The 22327-nt window shown below is 38.0% G+C and overlaps 1 long non-coding RNA gene across 1 annotated transcript in view, besides 1 other annotated feature; it reads left to right on the top strand.

The window, feature by feature from the left end:
• The window catches only part of FOXG1-AS1 (FOXG1 antisense RNA 1), a 40078-nt gene that overhangs the window by 5242 nt on the left and 12509 nt on the right, over positions 1-22327 (top strand). Inside the window, exons 3-4 of the long non-coding RNA NR_125758.1 lie at positions 18119-18244; positions 21234-21351. This is a non-coding gene — a long non-coding RNA (FOXG1 antisense RNA 1). The remainder of the gene's footprint in view (positions 1-18118; positions 18245-21233; positions 21352-22327) is intronic.
• Positions 1611-3209: an enhancer, noted in NCBI's record as "VISTA enhancer hs1064". NCBI's record gives its function as "enhancer in: hindbrain (rhombencephalon)[3/5] | forebrain[3/5]" and the evidence as "EXISTENCE:transgenic organism evidence [ECO:0001131][PMID:17130149]".

Genomic DNA, 22327 nt, shown 5'->3' with positions numbered 1-22327 from the left:
GAACGCAATCGAGCCAGAGGCCTTGATTCTAGGCGTCATCTCTCTAGATGTCCCCCCTTAAAGTTGCCTTTTCAGCCTAGGTATCTCTTTTTTTGGCACATAAGACCGGATACACACCAAATCAATTTTGGGCTAAGAGGTCATCTGCCACGGTAAACGCGGGGATATAGAAAACAGTTAAAGGTTTCAAGTCTGTATTGCTATAAAGCACATTTCAGAGTTAAAAGACTGGGGTGCATGCAGGTGACGTTAATTCGAATATTCAATTACATGTAAGGGGTATTGAACCCAGTGGGGGATAACAGTAATACCCGTATTTCTCTCTCGCTCTTTGGAAGGAGTCGCCTGCGGGGAGGAGAGGAGAAGACAGACTAAGCTGCGCGTAGAGCGGCATCAGGAGCAAGTTACCGTTAGCATGTGTAAACAAAACAACTCGACTCCTCTGTGTCAGAATCAACAACATCAAAGGTGTCTGTGGGGGGTCACTTTTATTTTTAAAACAATCCTAGATTCTTGTTCGGCAATTTTAGTGTCTTCCTTCTGGGTTTGTCCTAAGGCACGTAGGAGAGAAAGTAATGTTCGAGAAAAAAGCTGGGTCGGCAAGTTTGGCTCCGGAGCCTATGAACTATGAATCACCGCGGTGAAGAGGTTTTCTTTTTTCTTTCTTTTTTTTTTTTCTCACCCTCTTCTTTTCTCCCGGAGCGTGAACTTGTTAGATAAGATAGATGAGGCTACAAGGAAACAGAAACGCTGAAAAAGCCCAGCTCCTTTGGAGAGCAGCCTGTGGGGCTGGCAGGCGGCTGCCGCGCGCCCTCCCCCAGCTGAGGGGCACCGGGGTAGCTCCGGAGCTGTCCCAACTTGGGCCTCCTGGGCCCCCCGCGGGGCCAGACATCACGCTCAGATCGCTGCCTTGGCCATCTTACCTTTTGGCCATAGAATAAACACCCCGAAAGACGAGAGAAAGGCCTCTATTTGAGCTGAGTGTCTGCTCTCCCGCTCGAAACACAAAACAGGGCCCGCAGGTTTTCCTAGAGGAAGTCCCAATCACAAAACAGTCGGACAGTGGGAGACGCTAGAGAATTCTGGAATTACACATGAAACATTATTTTCCTAATTAATTAAAAATAATTCTCTTTTCCTATTTATATGCATACACACGCTACTGATTACACGTCCCTATTTACTTGAAAAAATGCTTGGAGTATCTTTAGTACACAATGCTCATTCTTTGTCCCCTTGAACATTTACAGCTGATAATGTGGCTGGTTGGGATCAATTAGCACTGGATTTTGCCCCAGGATTGCTCCCCAGGGCGGACAAGTGGAGCCAACTCATCTCCAGCGACTTTTACTTCGCTCACGTGCATATCCACGCCAGGGCTGCAGAAGCATTTCAAAATCCGCAGCCTTGGTTTCACTTGATTTTGTTGTTGTTATTGATAAATATTGGGTCATACACAAGCCACTTGTCAGAGCCTTTGGCTCCACCTCGCAGCTGCAGCTCCTAGCGGGACGTTTGAGTCTTGTCCTAGGAACTGGAAGGATTTACTGGGAAAAGAATTACACATTCTCTGCTCCTTCAGTTTTGGAGATGGTCCCTTAAGATCATATCATATCGTCTGTCTGCTTGCTGTCACATTTATTTCTTGATTGTTCTGATATGTGAACAATGGGAAGGTGTGTGCATCTTTTCCCCCTATCTTTTTAAAACAATTATTGAAATGGTTTAAAAGTGGGGGAGGGGAGAAAGTATTGATCCCAGTTCTTTCCGTATATTTGGAACCAAAAGAACATAGGCAAATAGATAATTGTTTTAATTGTCGGGGTGGGGGGTGGGTTGGTAGGTAGGACCTTTGGGGTTTGTGTAATTGGAGTAATAAATACAGTTTATCTTTTAGCTCCGCCGTATATATTCTTTCCCTTGATACATATTGCACATGAAATGAACCCATGGTCTACTTGTCTTAGCATGTTTGAAGCCCCAGACACCCAACAGTATCATTACAGGAAAAAGACAGAGCCCCCAAAGACTGCATGCAGGCAGGAAGGTGACTGCCTTTGGGGCCAATGGGGAATTTATCTTGACGTTGAACTTTTCTGGGAAGTGCACCCACTCGCTCAGGCTCCCTTGCTGCGCAGAGTTCAGGTCTTCCCCATGCTGAAGAGCAGGGAGGAGGTGTGGAAAAAAACAGCTGATTTTTGACATTTCAAAGGGACTCTTTCTATTTATCAGTGTTACCGAAGTGTACGTTACTGGAGAAACAACAAAACAAGCATAGAGCTGCAATTTTCAAGAAAATAGGATCCCCAAATATAAAAATAAAAAAGTAGCAGATAAGATGTATAATTCAATCAAATTACACAAAATTGCTTGAAAATCTAGAACAGTAGCGATCCATTATGCCTCTGTTTTATTAGTGACAAGTACAATTACTCTAAAATAAAGAACACTGGTGAATATATAATTGGCTGTAATCATGTTAGTGTTTGAATAAAAATGACGGGAACATTTAACACTTTGACAACAAAATGTTCAGAAATAACTTATTTATTCAAACAGTTTTTATTTTCCACCAAGTGAAGGAGAAACACAGTTTGCTTAGGAAAATCAATGACTTTTCCCTGCAATAAATAAATATCCAAAAGGGGGAAAAAACAGCCCCACACCTCTATATTATTACTGTTATTATTTTTAACCAGCAAGAAGCTTAATCCTGTGTTTGAAGTCAGCGCTCATCTAGCGGTTGTTTGGTGCCAAAGTCCGCCACCTAGAGGAAGAGCTCTGCAGCCCAGAACCCCTTTTCCCGCGGTGACCTCGGGAATCAAAGTTAATATTCCTTTGCAAATTGCTCTCCAAACTAACTCCCCCTCCCTTTCCTCCTCACGTCCCCTTTCGCCCTACAACATCGTCACAATATTTTCTTAGTAATTGCTCTGCACAATTGACAGAAGCGCCGCGTCTCCGGCAGCGCTGTGCTCTCCCAGGAAAGCGTGAGGGCGCGTTGGGGAAGCAGGTCAGGGAATATTTGGTTCTGGAGAGACAATCCACTTTCATCCACAATGGTCTAGAGCAGCGTGACTTGGGAACTTATAAAGTGACGGCTGATGGAGGCATCGCCACATTCCAATGCATTTTTTAACCCCGGGCTTTCTTAGAAAAAACAACTGGGATCCCCAGGTACCGCGGGGCTATTCCCGACTTTTCCCCAGCGCCCCCACTCCCCACCCCAAACGCGAAGATCTGAGATCTCGGCTTTATTTAATCATCTACTCAGTTATTGGAGCTCAGTGGGTCCTTTTATTCTCCTAGGTGGGTTGCTTGAAGAACTGAGTTACAAAGGTATTAAAGAGGAGGCCGTGTTTGCAGGGGTCCCCCTGTGGTCAGGGAAACCGACTCAGGAGAACCCCCATGTTTTTACACTGAGCTGAGCCTCCGAGTTTCAAGAAACTTGGGCAGTGTGCGAGAGAATTTGGGGTTGTACTCGCAAGCACCAGGAGTCTTTTTGATTTTAGTGTTGGTGGATCCTATCGGCTCCTCACACAGAAAAGCCAACCTCACTCTTCAATCTCGAGCTCATCCTCTCAAGTAATTATTGGGGAAGGGAGATGCTAAACGAGGGAGCATGGGGCTCTGGGAAGAAATTTAACAACAGCATTCGAGCGCTCAAATTCTCCTTAACACCAGTGCTGCAGATTCTGCTGCGATCCCCGCTCTGGCCCTCCAGGAATGTCTCCCCGCCCCACTCCTCCAAAGTTTTGTTTTAATTGCTTTAGGGCACTTAGAATATTGTTCAAGTTGAGGATTTCCTAGAAAGGCGAGGAAGATAGAGTTGATTTAGTTTTGAAAAAAAAAAGTTATTAATCATAAGACTTCAGTTGGGTTTCATTTCTTCTAATTTTCCTTCCTGTCCCCTCCTTCCCTCCTTCCCTCTTTCCCTCCTTCCCTCTTTCCCTCCTTCCCTCCTTCCTTCCTTCCTTCCTTCTTTCCCTGCTTTTTCTTCCCTTTTCTCTTTCCTCTCTCTCCTTCTCCCTTTCCCTCTCTCTCTCACTATCTCTATGTGCGTCTAACTGTATCTCATCTACCTCCCTAAATGTGAGAGAAATGAAGCCTCGTGAAGGTGATGGAGGTGACCATTTTCATTCTGACTTCCAGAACCTCCTTACTTGTCAATTCTTAGTCTCAATGCTGGAGTTTGAAAGACATCTCGGAGGTGATTCTTCTCCCTCCCAGAGACGACCTCAGAACCATGGTCTAAGAAGCTATTTTTCTGACTGTGAAATTATTTTTTAAGGCAGCTGAAATAAATATATATTTTTAAAATAAGCCTCTGAAACTGATGCCCCGGTGCATGCTTCCTCTATGGATTGAGGCGCTCCCTAAATTCACTCCACCCAACCCCCTAGGAGCTTAAGTCCTCAGAAATGTTTTGTTTTGTTTTATGCAAAACTAGCGCTTCCACTCTCTACTCCCAGGTCTATCATTCCTCTCCCGCATTATATTAACGGCGATGTTAGCCTTCCCCTACGTGTTTAGGCTGCTAATGCCGGCCACTTAACGCAACAAAAATGCTCATCTGTGGAGATTTTCCCAAGGCTAGCTGCAATGTTGGCTCCTTTTTCTTTTCTTTTCAGGGCACGTCCATTCCTCCCTGCCCCCTTCTTCTTTTCTTGAGATGGGGACTGGAAAAGGGGTCCAACAACTCTAAGCGAGTGTGTGAAGTTTCCCCTCTTTCTCTTGCCTGCCAATCCGTCAAGCGGGGTGGTGAATTTTTGGTTTTCTCTAGAGAGCAGGACTATGGAAGCTTCAGCGTAGATTGGTTGCCTCTCTTAGTTAACTTGCCTTCTTCTTCTTCTTTTTTTTTTCCCCCAGTCATGACTTTCCTTTCTCCTCACCTTAGTCGGTGAAAGCAGTTGGGGATTGCCCTCACAGTCCTTCTGCACCCTTCCTAGCCCCAGGCTTCTGAAGAAAACTCCACTGGCTTTCTTTTGTATTGACAGGGAAGCTGGGTTGGAGATCTCCTCTGTATTGGATTGTGTGTGGGTGTTGTGTATGCTTGTTTAGTTTTAATAACTTTATGAGGGAGAGTCTCCTGAGCTTGTTGACATTTTTCTTCTATGGGGAGATTTTCTGGAGCACGGAATCACCTTAATTTAGATAATGACCGTCTATTAGGCTTCTTACCCTTTCAAGTAAATTTAGCCTGGGAAAATCATCTGCCCTCATGATTAATACATACCTAGTGTCCAAGGAGAAGACCATCAGGGGCAATGCAAACTGAAACTGACTTAAAGGGTAATAAATATTACCCAGTGGGTTTTGACTTAAAAAGATGAATATCGTCATTGTTCACAGCTGGAACACGTTTACTTCTTAAAAGCTGGTGAAGTGTAGACACGAGAACTGTTTTCCCGACTCTGGCTCTAGCACTCTTTTCCTATGGATCCTTAGGCAAGTTACTTCATCTTTCCAGTTTTTTCTTAATCTGGAAAATAAGTGACCTGCAATCACTAATATATAAAATATCATTCATTCATCAAATTCCCAACAACACTACCACTAAAATATAACTTTAAAAACCATAAGAATCTTTGGAAAAAATTTTTGGGGAGGTGGGGCTGGGAAGCAGGAAGAAAATCTCATTCTAACAGCAGCAGCGACATCTAGTGCCCATAATGCTCAATAGTAGCAGTGAAGGTGTGGGATTGTTTACTGAGTTTTTGGAGGGGAGAGCCATGGAGGCTTTTCTAATAAATCTTGACTGTCTGTCGGGCACACAATAGTCTTTTGATAATAAAAAAAATTCTAAGCTTTGATTATGGTAATAAGACATAGAGAGACAACGGTTTTTACCTCAAATCTGCACATAGGGCAATTAAAGTTTGTTATGAGTATTCTTCCAATGCTTTAAATTCCATGTCAAGGAACTAGTTCTAAAAAGTAATTTTATTTTGAGGGGGGTTGCAATTTATTTACCTAATTTTCCAAATTATCACTAAATATGTTTCTACACAAATACTTAACAAAATTGAAAAAAATTTATTTTTGATATTTTCTTTTATCTGAACTAACCACTTTGATTGGAGATAATTATCTAGTGAATAGCAGGGAACATACTAAAAATAACACCATGTTTTAAGTAATCACATATATGCCCTGTCTATATTACCTTGGCTGAAAATATTTTATAATTCAAAGAAATGGAATTCCTATGTCTATATGGATTCTGTTTCTTCTTCTTACAGCAAAGATTAAATGAACTATCTGGGCACAGGAAAAATCTTAGCAATGGTAGACTGCAGAGCCCCAAACTTTTCAGAATAACAATTTCGGCATTTGCTTGGCATTTAAGATGTTAGAGAGAGAGAGAGAGTAGACCTCTTCTCATTCCCTGTGACTGTAAGCTGGCCATGTGCGTGGGTGTAGTTTGTGCATGCACTTGCTGAAGTGTGTGTTTAATTTCCTAATAGCAAAGCAGCTGATGACTACTGGTATATGGATTCATGTTTTGTAACTTTAAGGGAAACCAATTTTGTTTATTCTATTTTTCACCAATATTTCCTAGATTTTACTATAAAATTTGGTCACTGGCATGCTATCTAGCTAGTTCTAGAATAGTAAGATAAATATACAAGTTGTTAACACCTAGGGGAATTTGAGGTAGTCACAACACTTCTCTTGAACCTTAGTTTTCTTATGCACAAAATCAGAAAGTTGAATCTGCTATCCCTTATAATTCAAAAGATTTTTAAGTCAATAAATCATCAACCTTCATTTGAGAAGACTCTCTTGTGGTGTCTTCATTGTTATTTGCAACTCTTCTCTATCACTCCTGAGTTCTCTAGTTAGGCATCTCATCAGAAATGAGAATTGATGAGCCAGCCCTCCATCTTCTCTATCTTCCTGTCTTGTTCTTTCCCTTTTTCTGCTTTTAAAAATAACAAAAATCTCAGACACTCTAGTCACCATTTACTAACTCATTGGCATGCACTCAGCTCTCCCTTGCTATCCATCCAGAAAAATCATAATGTGAGATAGGACCAAACTGAACACAAAGCTGAGGCAGCTGTATTCAAGTTTTCTAACATGTTCCCATATCCTCATGGTGATGATTAATTATTATTATTATTATTATTATTATTAGGAACCAGAGCCAAAGTATTCTGGCTGCAGATAGCCCACATTTTTCTCTCTGCTTCTGTGTCCCTGTGAATAAATTTCTTCAGGAGGATGCAGTAAAATGTCTCCAAATTCAATCTGACTAGGAACATCATTACACACTTTTAGCAATAAGAGTGTTCACAGAAGGCAAATATCACTCCGTGATGCAAATATGCTCAGCATTTAATATAGACCTCAGGGAAGCTGAAGACACACACACATACCCATGCACACACACACACATGCATGCGTGTGTGTGTTGTATATAAAGTGTGTGTGTGTATATACATATACACACATATGTGTATAAATATATGTATATGGAGTATCATATCTACATTGACCTGGGTTGATAGAAACAAACAAGTTTGTTACAGGGAAAATTCTAAATATATCAAAGGTTTCTTTCTTAGATGCCTTTTTGTTGTTCCCTAGAAAACTTCTTAGTTCCTACTACTTGGACTTTTATTTAAAATTCCTTATGCTGTACGAAGTTCATAAGACATGTTTTATTCTGCAGATTTTTCACAGACCTCATAAACACAGGTATTATTCTATTTTAGAAGTGAGGAGGCTGACCCAGACAGACTAAATTACTTGCTTAAGATCACTCCACTAGGAAGACACAGAAAAGGAGTGTGAATCCTGGCTTTGGACAGGCCGCAACTTACACTTGGTCATTTTTAGGGTTGGAGCCTTCAAACTGGGAAACAAGGGGATTGACTGAGGCTGTTCATTAAACTTCACCAGGATTCCACCGCATATATTTGAGAAATCTCAACTTTTAAAGAATTTTGGGACCCCTAGTCTGTGTTTGCTACTCCTCATTCATGTATGATTTTCTCCTCTTAACACTAACAATTTTATATTCTTTCTACAGGAAGGATAATCTTTGGAAAAAAGGTTGTACTCTAAACATTTTTGTTAATTATCTTGGGAACTAAGATTTTAGAGTTGGAGGGAATCTAAGACATTTTGTGATTCAGCAGCTCTGGAGTAAGATGATTGTCCGAATCAATGGCTCCTGAGAACTGTGTGAAATGGGAGTCCAAATTATTGTCAGTTCTCTGGTGTTGCTTCCTACCCATCTCCCTGGATTTTTGGCTTTATGCATTAATACATTTGGTTACTTCATTCTTGCTGGCCACCCTGTGGACTAGTTTTCCAAGCGGCTGCATTTTCAGCAGCACACTGTGGACTTAGCCAAGCACTTTAAGCTGAGAGCTGTTAAGCCTTCCTGGATCTATTTTCTCTCAAGTAGCTCTCTGCTGCCCTCAACTGGTGTTCAGCCACCAGAGCTAGCTAGCCTTCAGCATTTACACGAATCCACCGTACCCTGGCTTCAAGTCAGATATGGGAGCATCATTAACCACACTGTTTATGGCTTTTATAGCATGGAAAAATAGAACCCAGGCCCATTCACGTCCACTTATGCCTCAGGTTCTCACTTTCTACAAGTTTGCAGATGGGCCATGAAGGAGAATATCTGATTTTCACTTATGTGTGCTGGAGTATTTGGAAGGGCTTACATGAAAATGTAAACTTTCTCTTTAATTATCAAATTGAGATACACTTCAGCTGATAGACCAAATTTTTGAACATGTTGCAGTTAGTCTTAAGAAATACGAAACATTTTGTCTTTGATGTAAACAAGATATAGAGAATCATATGAAATCCATGAATTACTTGTAAACTTTCTCATTTGTTCAATAAATACATAGCGTACACATACTGTACGCTAGACATTATTATTGGTGCTAAGAATATAGCATTGGATAATGGAGGCAAAAACCTCTTCTGCCTTTATTAAGCTAACTTCCCAGTTAAGGAAAATAGACATTAAACAAGTAAATAGGTAAAATACATTTTAAGGGAATGTAACATTTCCATATCTATTTCCTACCCCAAGTACTGTAGCGATTGCATGTTTTTGTTTTGTTTTGTTTTGTTTTGTTTGAGACGGAGTCTCACTCTGTCGCCCAGGCTGGAGTGCAGTAGCGCGATCTCGGCTCACTGCAAGCTCCGCCTCCCGGGTTCACGCCATTCTCCCGCTTCAGCCTCCCGAGTAGCTGGGACTACAGGCGCCCGCCACCACGCCCGGCTGATTTTTTGTATTTTTAGTAGAGACGGGATTTCACCGTGTTAGCCAGGATGGTCTCGATTTCCTGACCTCGTGATCCACCCCCTCGGCCTCCCAAAGTGCTGGGATTGCAGGCGTGAGCCACAGCGCCCGGCCGCGATTCCATGTTTTTAAGAACATTTGTAGTAAAGTTAAAGAGGCATAACTAGAGTTTATACAGGGACCATGCATGCTATATAAATATTGGATGCGTTATTTATTAATGAATTCATAAATTTCTTGTGAATATAGAGTAGATATATGAAAGTGTTTGATGCAGATGAGTGTTTGAACCTTTCAGCTGAAGAGACGTTTTGTCTTTTGTTTCTATACCAATCTCTCCTGTTGAATTGCCTTGTGGTTGGAATATCACTTTGTCACCCCCTGTAATAGCTGCCACTAAAGTCCTTGCTATTGCTGCTATTGACGATGGTCTCTGGTTATTATCTTTACTTTTCTCTTTGTTTTTATTCTGTTCTCTTACTATGTCTTTTGCTTTCTTCTCAGATAAACTCTGATAGATACCACTGACCAAATAGAATAAGTTTTCCCTTTCTTATGTGGTGGAACTACCAGTCATAACTAGGGAGGTTTAATCACCTGATTTTCTTTTCACTACCAGGTCTATTTGAAATGGGTATTTGTCCTAGGTAAAATGCAGCTGATTTGGAAGAAACCAAAATATTAATCAAATAATAACCAAGTGGTAGTGGCAATTACAGATACACAGCTTCTAAGTAATATGTTTGTATTTAAATAAATAAAATAGTCCAAATTCTGAAAAAAAAACCCTATAATATAAAACTGAGTTTGAGTTGCTGGGTGAGAAGCTTCATCCTTGCCGTGAAAAATTTTTCTGTGTGGAACTTTCCAGTTTTGTTTTTATGATGCAGACGTCTTCTGCTAGGCAGACATGACACCATCTCAGTGAACCATGTAGGTCAGCACAGGGTTAAAAATATGACGTACCTATCCTTATATGAATTAGAAATGTTTATATTTATTAACACATTTCTTGAAATATCTTTAATTTTTGTTTACTTCTGATTTTATATATCACAGACTTGCTGTAAAAAATTTCTAGTATATTATAAAGAAGAAAATAAACATAAATCATCTATTAAAGTAAAACCTATATTCTAAATAATTTGGATCATCTTGTGGGTATATTTTGTGTTCAGCCTTTTGTTCATTATTGTTATACTGTGAGCATTTCCACATAACTATTTTTAAAACCTATAGTTACAAATATCTATATTAACCTATGGATAATGATAAACAATTTAACCACTGTCCATTAACCATTGCTTCACATTTAGGTGGTTTCTAATTTTTCATTATTAAAATGACTTGAGATATATAACTTTGCACATAAGCTTTTTCTCCAACTTTGATCATTTATAATAGATTTTTTAAGGGCAAGGTTTTTTTTTTTTTTTGGTGGGGAGGGATCACATAGTATGAATTTGTAATAAACATTTACCATATACTGGTGAATTGTATTTCTTTAAAATTTCATTACTGTGGCTGGGCTTGGTGGCTCACGCCTGTAATCCCAGCACTTTGGGAGGCCGAGGCAGGTGTGTCATCTGGGGTCAGGAGTTCAAGACCAGCCTGGCCAATGCAGCAAAACCCCAACCCTACTAAAAATACAAAAATTAGCCAGGTGTAGGGTTGCATGCCTGTAATCCCAGCTACTCAGGAGGCTGAGGCAGGAGGATCCCTTGAACCCAGGAGACAGAGGGTGCAGTGACCTGATATAGTGCCACTGCACTCCAGCCTGGGCAACAGAGCGAGACTCTGGCAACAACAACAACAACAACAACAACAACAACAACAACAGCAACAAAGATTGTATTAGTGTACATTTGCAGTGATCTATAAAAGTGACTGTTTTGGCCGGGCACGGTGGCTCACACCTGTAATCCCAGCACTTTGGGAGGCCGAGGCGGGTGGATCACGAGGTCAGGAGATCGAGACCATCCTGGCTAACACAGTGAAAACCCGTCTCTACTAAAAATAGAAAAAATTAGCCTGGAGTGGCGGAACGCGCCTGTAGTCCCAGCTACTCGGTAGGCTTAGGCAGGAGAATCACTTGAACCCGGGAGGTGGAGGTTGCGGTGAGCCAAGATTGCACCACTGCACTCCAGCCTGGGCAACAGAGTGAGACTCTGTCTCAAAAAAAAAAAAAAAAAAGTATCTGTCTTAATGAACCCTCACCAAATTTTAAATTTTCTTTTGCCAGTTTAAAAGGAGAAATATAATACCTATAACTAGCTTTAATGTACTTTTCTTTATGTACCAGCAAGATTGAAAGAAGTTTCTACAAATATTTATTACATTTTAAATTTCATCTTTTATGATCTTTCTGTTGTCTTTTGTGCATTGCTTATTTGAATTTTTGTGCTATTTTTATTAATTTTAAGGGCTTTTCTAGATAAAAATATTAACCGTTTGTCATCTGGCTCAAATATCTTTTATAGTTTTTATTGGTCTTTTTAGCCTATTTACAATATTTAGTTATACACAAATGTAAGTTTTATGCATATTCAGATATTGAAAATGTAATGAGCTTGAAACTTAAAACCTGGGTTTGAATCTATCACTTTGTGTCTATGTGAACTTGAGTAAATTATTAAACCTCTGTACCTTATTTTTATTTGATATAAGATGGGGTTAATAATGCTAATTCTCTCATAATGTTTTCTGAGGATAAAATGCATTAAATTTATAAGGAATATAGTTTGAAGTGTACCAGGCAAATGGTAAGCCCAAAATTAAGATTGAACATTTTTATTATTGTTTACAGTATTCAAATTTACAAATGCAAAATGATTTTTATTACTTTAATATTAGTATTTTACATATCTAAAATGAGTTAAATACTAAGTAAAGTTTTATTAACTAAATATCAAATATAGCTAAGAATTTTGTATACCTAGTTTTTTAAATTATATAAATGATTAACTTGAGTATTCTGAGGAAAAATACTATTATGTCTTATTCATGTACTTAATACTAGTTTTATTCATTCAAGAGATATTTGTTGAACTTTTACTACATGCCAGAAACTGTAGTTGAACAAGATAGCGAACAAATGGATGAAAACCTTTGCTTTTCTGCAATTGACGGAGAAACCATAACAAAATACGTTAGTATCATGAAAAATATAATAGAGAAGAATAAAGGAGATAAGAAGTGCAAAAAAAGTGCTTGCAATTTCAAATATGTTAGCCAGGGGAGATCACTGAGTGTATTAGTTTTCTGTTGGTGCCTAACAAATTACTACACATTTAAGGCTTAAAACAACATAAATTTATTTTTTTTTCCAGTTTCTGTGGGTCAGATCAAGAGTCTAGACACAAACTACCTGGGTCCTTTGCTCAAAGACTTACAAAACTGAAATGAAGGTATTGACTGTGCTCTGGTTCTCATCTGGAATTCAGGTTGTTGATGGAATTTAGATCCTTGTGGTTGTAGGACTGTGGCCTCTGTTTTCTTGCTGCCTCTCAACTAAGGTCACTCTCAGCTCCTATAGGACAGATCCATCCATCATAATCTGAATAATCACCCTTTTGATTAGCTAAAGAAAGGAGTGTTGGTGATCAATTGCATCAAATGTTGCTGATAGGCCAAGTAAAATGAGAAGAGAAGATTGACTGGATTTAGCAATACGAAGGTCATTGGTAATCATGAGGAGAACAGATTTGTTAGAATGGTGGAGGTAACAGCCTCTTGGGTGATGATTAAAAATGAATGGGAAGAAAAATTTGAGATAGTGTATAGACAGTTTATTGAGCAGGTTTGTGGAAAGGGAAGCAAGAGAAGAAACATTAGCTAGAGAGGAGGTGGAGCCAAGAGAGGGTTTTTTTAATGGGAGAAAAGTATGTTTAATTGCTGATGGAAATGATACAGTAGAGAGGTAAAAGTAAAATCTGATGGCATAGGAGAGAAGGGGTAGAATTGCTGGAGGAAGTGAGATGGGATCAAGTGACCAAGTGAGATGGTTGGACTTAGGTGGGAGTACTGATAATCATCTTTCATTCCAGGGGGACAGCAAAGTACATGGATTCTGTAGGTTGTGGGTATTCTCTTCTGATTACTTCAGTTTTCTCAATGGACTAGGAAGCGAGCTAAAACTGAGCATGATAATGGAAGTGCTTGAAATATGAGTAGGAAAGATTAGGCATGAAAACGCCATCAAGAAGAGTGGGAGAGTAAAAGACCAGGCAAATTTAATATGATTGCCAGACAGTGTTATGGACATACATGAAATGCATGCTCATGAATGTAAATGAAACCAGTTTACATGCTGTGTGTTTTCCTAAGTCATGTTAGTTTCAGGGCCTTCAGAACTAGCAAGACAGAAAGTAATATGTAACCAGGGTTGTGATTCAGACAAATGACTCTGAACAAGACAGGTAAGGGAATTGGGGATGCAAAAAGGAGTCACTGCAATGATTGGTCATGGAATTTAAGGTAAAAAGGGGGGAAAAAGGAGAGAAGGGGGAGAGAAAAGTGAAAAGCATAAATTGAAGACCTACCAAGCACTATGGTAAATTATTAGAATAAAGTAATACAAGCTTTTCTTTAAAACTGGCTTTCTGATGACTCTAAGGCTGTGCTGTATAGAGAGGTCAAGTGATCCTGAGCTTTAGCTCCTCATGAGCTGCAGGTAACTCCCATCACAATGACTTATTTTGACAAACTCAAAGCACTTTCATAGCTCCTATCCCTTGGTACACTTATGAAGAAAGCAAGGGCAGGAACTAATATCTTTGCTTTTTATATAGATGTAACATCTTTATTTTATATCTAGATATGCATAAAGAGAGGATCCCTGGACACAGTTTTTAATTTAATTTAATTTAATTTAATTTTATTTTATTTTATTTTATTTTATTTTATTTTTGAGATGGAGTCTTGCTCCGTCGCCAGGCTGGAGTGCAGTGGCATGATCTCAGCTCACTGCAATCTCCACCTCCTGGGTTCAAGTGATTCTCCTGCCTCAGCCTCCTGAGTAGCTGGGACTACAGGCGCATGCCACCACACCCAGCTAATTTTTGTATTTTTAGTAGAGATGGGGTTTCACCATGTTGGCCAGGATGGTCTTGATCTCTTGTACTGTGATCCACCCACCTCAGCCTCCCAAAGTGCTGGGATTACAGGCGTGAGCCACTGCGCCCGGCTGACACAGTTCTATAATATACAGAGGTGAAATTATTGCTAACTCAAATCACTGTTTCTCTGTGTGACTGCTTTCAGCTTCCTTAGTTCTAGTCCTCAGCAACTCATGCTGCCCTATGGTTGTTCCACATTCCCCACTGCAATCTTCTTCTCAGGATTTTAGTCAGCAGCCATGCACTGTAATTTTCTCTTTTCCCAGGCTTCCTTCATTGAAAACTTCCTGTGAAGTTCTCAGTTCTATTGAGTAACCCATTAACCACTTTGGTAAACGAATTCCAACTTGACCTAAGTTCTTAATCTTGTTATCTGTCTTAGAGTGGTAGTTTTCAGTATGCTCTTCCCTCAACCCACAGTAAGAAACACACATCATGACCTAGGCCACAAATACATGTATCTACATACACACATACACAGCTGAAACAAAAAATTTTCCAAAATACCCTTATTACTTGTGATACACTCTGATAGTTTCTATTCTATTATATTCTATTTAAAAATTTACTGGTTGAGACTCACTAAGCTATTTACCAACTACTAATGGTTGATGGACTGCAGTTTGACAATAAAAGGGGCTTTTGATGCTTATAATGCAGGTAGGCTATAATCATGGCTCATAACACATTTAAGTATTTTACAAAATAACTCCTAATTGAGACCTGATAGGATATGTGTATTTTAGTAGCTGAAAAGAGCTGGAAGTTAGCAGTTAGTAGAAAGACTATAGAACTTCAAAAGACCCAAATCCTATACTTCATTCTAATACTTAATAACTTTGACATTGGTTTCTTATTCTACCCTCTCTCATGTTCTGTCTATCTAAAATGGAGTTCAAAACACCTGCTACGTGTAACCCTGAAATTTATTCTCAAGAGCAAGTGAACTGTAAGTAATGGAGGTTTATAAATAGCAAATGTAAGACTCTCTAATTTTATTTCTGGATTGGGTTTATGTTGGAACTCTGAAAGTCAGGCAAACCCTCCAAAGATAAGAATATTCCCTGTCACCAACTGCTTTGATTGATCTTAAGTTGCCATATATTATTCAAATATGTTGAATTATTTGAATATTATATTGTTTCTTATGTATTCAAATAAAATTTATCATTTATCAGAAAAATATTTTAAAGTTAAAAAATTATCTACTTGATATGATATGGTGTATAAAGCTTTTTATGCACTTTAACAGAAAATGAGTCATGGTTTTTTATTAGGTTTTGAGATAAATCCACACACCAACCTGGAAGGCATAGTTCTAATACAGCTGCTGTACATTTTCTTCACAGCTTATTTGTAATGTCTTTAGTCATTGTTAGGTCTGTTAGTCAGAAGTTTCACATCTATAATGAGACTCACTTGTGGTCATCATTTTTAGTAATTATTTAAAAAAATGTTGACATACAATTTTGTGTGTTGAAATTCAGTTCTATTCACAGATTTCTCCTTCTGTTCTTCTGCAAATCAACATGGATAATCTCAAAATAACAGTGCCTCTCTACACTCTAAGGATTTAGGTTGTGTCATCATATTAATATTTTGCCCTTTTACTATTTCCATTAATTAATTTAGCCCTTTAACTTTTACTGATCAATGTGGACCAAATTTTAATTGCAACATTGCTATGAAATAATACCAAATTAAAGCTGATAGTGTCATGCTGTGAGCTAGTGAGAGATATTAACATTTTTGAACATGATAAGTTGATTTAAAACCAGATGGACTTGTAACCAACTTCAGAATAGTGTTCAAAATCTAGTTGTGAAGAATTTTGAATATTACATTAATGGTTCAAGTTTGGGGTGTCTGATAAAATGCTGGTGGCTTGGAAACATGTAGCTTTACATTATCTCTATCCCATTATACTGTTATTAGAAAGTTAAAACATGCAATGATGTAAAGAAGGAATTCAGTAGTGTATCTGATGAATATCTATTAATTCCCATAACGGATTTAAATATTAACTTTAATATAGACTGTGCAATATGGTTGATTATTTACTCATTAACTAAACATTTAATCATTATCTACTCTGTACAAGATACTACACGAGGTGATGAAGACAGAGTGTTGAATAAAATTTAGTTCCTACTCCAATGGGACTCACAGTCTGGTGGAGGAGATGAACACACAGTCATATGTATAGCATAAAATCAGTGCCACACTGGAGGTATGTACTGGGTGGGTTCTATGGAAGTACAGAAGAAAGCCACTTAAGTCTTCAGATTGTTTCATGGAAGAAATGTCATTAAATCTCTGTCTTCAAAAATTATCTTAAAAATTTATCGATATTGTACATGAAAACATAATAATAAATAATTTAGAAGAGCTTACGATAAAAATAACAGAACTGTTTCTCTTCAACAGCTGTTTGGATTCCCGGCTGTGAACTCTTTTAAATACCTTTTTAAAATTTTCTTTCTTTTTTTTTTTTTTTTTTGAGACAGGGTCTCACTCTATCATCCAGCTTGGAGTGCAGTGGTGCGATCACAGCTCACTGCAGCCTCGACCTCATGGCTCAACTGATCCTCCTACCTCAGCCTCCTGATTAGCTGGCACCACAGGTGCAGCCCACCATACCTGGCTGATTAAAAAAAAATTGTTGAGATAGGGTTTTGCCATGTTGCCCAGGCTAGAGTTTTAAATACTTCGTTTGCATTTCTTTTTGTGATTCCTTCATGATACTAATTATATTATACTTATTATGGGTGGTTTAGAGTTATTTATCATTTCATTACTTCCACAGGTTACTTTTGTGATAATAGTAATACCCTAACACATTATGAGATATTATCATCCCCACTCTTTCATCCACCTTTTACCTCCCTTAGTTCCCACCATTTATTAGCTAACCTAGTTTTATTTTATTAAGACTATTATAATTTGTACTTTGAAATTAAACAGCAACCAAATCTCTCACCCTTTCTCCATGAATTAAGTCTGGAAATTTACATTTTTATGACTATGCTGAGTCATGCATTGTGCTATGACAGAATACATTCTCTTTTCTCACTATCAATTGCTTAAAACCATGCCAGAGATTTAATTTTTTTCCATTTGTATCGTAGCCTTTTACACAACTTTCTTCCTTTATTTTCTTTAGGTTAGCCATCAACTTTTCTTTCTTTCTGTCTCTGTCTTTTTTGGCTTCACTATATTAGCACATTATTGTTTTAAAGAGGTAACATGTCTTTATTGCGTTTTTCACACATTCTCCCAGTGATTCTCAAATGGGGAGGTCTTTTCTCACATGCCTTCCTCCTGACACCATCAATCCTTCCTGCCATACAGGAATATCCTGCATTGCTTTCCTGGGTGTGACCCACACTTTTTTCCTGTCTCTCCTCTTCTTTCTTCTCTTTATTTTCTTCTTTTTTTTCTTGTTTCGTTTCTTATTTTTCTTTATTTTCTTTAATTTCTTTATTTATTTTCTTTAAAAGGTATGTGGTAAATACATACCATATTACCAAATGCTTTTATTCTGGTGTGTATGTGTGTGTGTATGTGTGTGTATCTGTATGCGTGTGATTGAACTGTGTATATCATTTTTAAGTCAAAAATATTTTCTCAAAAACTGTAAGGTTTTGGTCTATTTTCTTAGCATTCAGTGTTGGTGATAAGTTTAAACTAATCCTTTCTCTCTCTCTCTTTTTTTTAATAGAACCTGGGTCTCACTCTGTCCCCTAGGCTGGAATGCAGTGGTGTGATCATGGCCCACTGCAGCCTTGAACTCCTGGACCCAAGCAATCCTCCCATCTCAGCCTCCCAAGTAGCTGGAACTACAGGTGTAAGCCACACCTGGATAACTCATTTATTTTTAGATAACCTGTTTTTAATATTGGAAGCTTTTATGATTATCTCTGGGTAGGGGTCTTTACATTCCACTTGGCATTTTTCACTTTAAATTCTCATGTCTTTCAACTTGGAAGAATTTGATTCTATCAGTTCTCTGTTGATTTCTTCTACTCCATTTTCTGTATTCACGTTGTTTTTGGGTTTCTATTACTCAGATATGGGGCGTCCATACCACTTCTATAGGTCTTTTATCTGTTCCCTCATGCTTTCTGACTCTGCATTTCTGCTTTACACTGTAACAGAGTTCTCTATTTTATTTTCTAGATCTTTACTGTTAATTCCGTTTAGTAGTTTGTTCTGCATTTTCCAGTTGTTAGAAATCTGTTATTATTCCTCATTTTTTGAAAACTTCTTTCCTACATTCTTCTTAGTTACGTATTAATTCTATTTTTGTGCATTTATGTTCTTATTTTAGTGCTGTCTCAGGAGAGATAAGATGTATCGCTAAGACCTAGTATGAATTTGAGTCAGAACTATAAGCAGCAACAGGTTGTTTTAGGGTTAAAGTAACAAACTAGAAACAGTAGGGCCACAATTTGCTTTTTTTTTTTTTTTTTTTTTTGATGGAGTCTCAAATCTCGCTCTGTCACTCAGGCTGGAGTACAGTGGTGCTATCTCAGCTCATTGCAACCTCTGCCTCCTGGGTTCAAGCGATTCTCCTGCTTAGCCCCCCAGGGTAGCTAGGAGTACAGGCACACGCTACCATGACCAGCTAATTTTTAATTTTTGGATTTTTGGATTTTTAGTAGAGATGGGGTTTCACCATGTTGTCCAGGCTGGTCTTGAACTCATGTCCTCAAGTGATCTACCCTCCTTGGTCTCCCAAACTGTTGGGATTACAGGCGTGAGCCACTGTGTCTAGCCTGCTGAGATAATTTCTAGGTGTCATATCATGGAGGGTCTTGTAGATACACTCTACTAAGGACACTGGACTTTTATCTTAGAGGCACTGAATGTTCTAATTGTGAAAATAGTATGATCTTGTAAAGAAGGTATATTTAAAGACTAGAGGCCAGGAGGACAGTTAGAAGCCTGTTGAAAGAATTTATGTTAGTGATAAAGATCTGATCCAAAGCAGAAAGATCAGAGAGAAGATGAGGCAAAAATAATAGAGATACTACAGAATAAATTTCCAAAATTGAGTAAAAATATGAAGACAGGAAATGCTAAGAACGCCAAATAGGATAAAGGCAGAGAAAACCACATGTAGTCACATCACAATAAAACTTCCAAAAACCAAAGATGAAAAAAAGCAACCTTAAAAACAGCCAACAGATAATCAAACAATATATATTACCTTCAAAGGAGCAATTAAAGGCAAAATAAGAGTGTTACCTTTCTTCTCAAAATTAGTAATGAAATCCAGAAAATAATAGAATGATAATCCTAAAAAAGCTAAAATAAAATACGGGACAGCTTATAATTAAAGCCTAGTCTCTCTCTACTTTTGCCTAATGTACTATGTCCCTGTTCATTAAGGCAATATTTCGTCTTAATGAAATGTCCCTGTTCATTAAGAAAATATAAGAAAATACTTTATTCTCTTATAATTTTGTGGAGCTGATGTTCATAAAATGCATCATTTAAATAGTTAATTTTGTAAGATGATGGGCTTGGCAGAGTAACTGAGATTTAAATCCTTGCTGTTTAATCTGTTCTAATTGGTTAAGGGTAATGCCCAATTTAGAAGCAAAAAGTAAAATTGCAGATTTGTTTTTAACTCCCTTCAGTTCTGAAGTTTAATAGTTTCAAAAACATCTCCTTTATTATACTTACCCTAAGAAAGTTGACTCAGATTAATTGTGGCAATATTTGATAAACATAATAATGCCAATATTAGATGAAATGAAAATAATTGTGAATAGAAGGCTGTGTGTAATAAGGGGATTATAAAGACGTAGGTTCAGAGCAGACCTTTATTTATTTACTTAATAGGTGAGTACTGGTTCTGTTGCCTAGTAGAGTGCAGTGGCTATTCACAGGCATGACCATGGCGCACTACAGTCGCACTCCCAAATACTGGGACTACAGATGGGCACCACCACACCCAGCTGTAGAGTGGATCTTTTTTTTCTTTTTTTTTCTTTTTTTTTTTTTTCCCCGAGACGGATTCTCACTCTGTCGCCCACGCTGGAGTGCAGTGGCGCGATCTCCACTCACTGCCAGCTCCGTCTTCCGGGTTCACGCCATTCTCCTGCCTCAGCCTTGTGAGTAGCTGGGACTACAGGCGCCCGCCACCACGCCCAGCTAACATTTTGCATTTTTAGTAGAGATGGGGTTTCACCGTGTTAGCCAGGATGGTCTCGATCTTCTGACCTCGTGATCCTCCTGCCTTGGCCTCCCAAAGTACTGGGATTACAGGTGTGAGCTACCGCGCCCGGCCAAGTGGATCTTTGTAAGAACTGTGGGATAGCAAATATAGAATTAGGGCTGTGCAATTTTATGTCCAGATAGACTATTATGAAAATAAAATTGACCTCCATGAGCTCTGGAGTTAGATTTCCTGTGTAAAAACTCCAGCTCTTCAATTTACCAGCTGTGTGACCTTGGACAAGTTTCTTAATGAATCTGCATTTCACTTTCTGCATCTGTAAAACCTTTTCAAGATTGTGGCATAAATTTGTAAGCATACTTCAAATGTTAAGCCTTTATTATAATAATGAAAATTTGGCAAAACAAAGCTGATGCATTCATAGTAATTGTGTAATGTATTTATTAATATTTTATTGGATTCTGGTATTTGGCTTAGGCAAAGGAAGTATCTGAAAATATTTACGTTTTATGTAATGTTAAAAGAATGAAAAGAAAAACAAAAAAAATTATCAATATATGCTAAGAATTTTGTTGACAGTCCACATATATAATTTTCTTAACCCTAAAATGAATTTATAATGTAGGTGTTATTTTTTGTTATTTTACAGACGGGAAAACTGGCTTAGAGATGTTAAATATCCTGGATTATTGTCAGTTTAACAAAATAATTTCGGCTATCAAAGATCAAGTGGGATAAATTTCAGAGGAAGAAACTGAGCTCCTTGCGTAAGTCCTAGAAAAAACATAAAAGGTGGTTAACTGCCTCCATATAAAGCTGATTTTTTAAAAAGCTCTCATTTTAGGTTTAGGGGTACATATATGGAGTTGTTATACAGATAAATTGTGTGTCATGGGGGTTTGGTGTACAGATTATTTCATCACCCTGGTAATAAGCATAGGACCCGATAGGTAGTTTTCTGACCTTCTTCCTCCTCTCACCTCACCCTCAAGTAGGCACTGGTGTCTGCTGTTCTCTTCTTTGTGTCCATGTATACTCAATGTTTAGCTAATTCTAGCCTGTAAATTTAATCACAAATCTCCTGTTAACAATGCTGTGTTGCTTCCTTCTTTGGCTATTTCAACTATCTGCTGATTTCTTTTCTTTTTACTACTATTTCATTTGCAGTGGAGCCAACCAATCCTAACAAAATTGAATAGTAGATAAATTATACCATTTCATCTGAAGAAATACCTGTCTCATTTTTACTTTTTCTCTCACTCTATCCTCTACTAAAAACTGTTTTCAGATAAACTTCTGAAACCAATCATTTATAACTGGATATAAATTCAAATTATTTTTACTTCTCAGAATATTATCTCAAGCTAACTTGAATTGGGTAATAAAAGACATTTTACTCTATTAAAGAAAAGCTAGGCATTTCCTGAAATATCAATTAGTTTGGAAGCAATTCACCTATATGTCATGTGAACCCTAAAATAAAATAAAAAAATCTAGACTGGTTATGTATATTTTCCTGTTGAAAAAGATCTAGATGATTTTTTAAAATGCTACATGTTACTTTCTAATAAATATTTTTTAAAAAGTTGGTCACCAGACTGCCCCTAAGCAATAAGAGATTTCCAAATTTTTATATAAAGTGGAATTATGAAACCTAATTATGTACAACTGCTGTTCTACCATGTTTGGGCTACATTGGTAGGAATACCTGTTAGCTGTGCATTGTCAAAGATTGCTTATACT

The sequence above is a fragment of the Homo sapiens genome, chromosome 14 (assembly GCF_000001405.40).
Source record: "Homo sapiens chromosome 14, GRCh38.p14 Primary Assembly".
Taxonomy (NCBI): Eukaryota; Metazoa; Chordata; class Mammalia; order Primates; family Hominidae; genus Homo; species Homo sapiens.
Note: the sequence above shows the minus strand (reverse complement) of the source record. Positions and strands in the feature narration are given on the sequence as shown.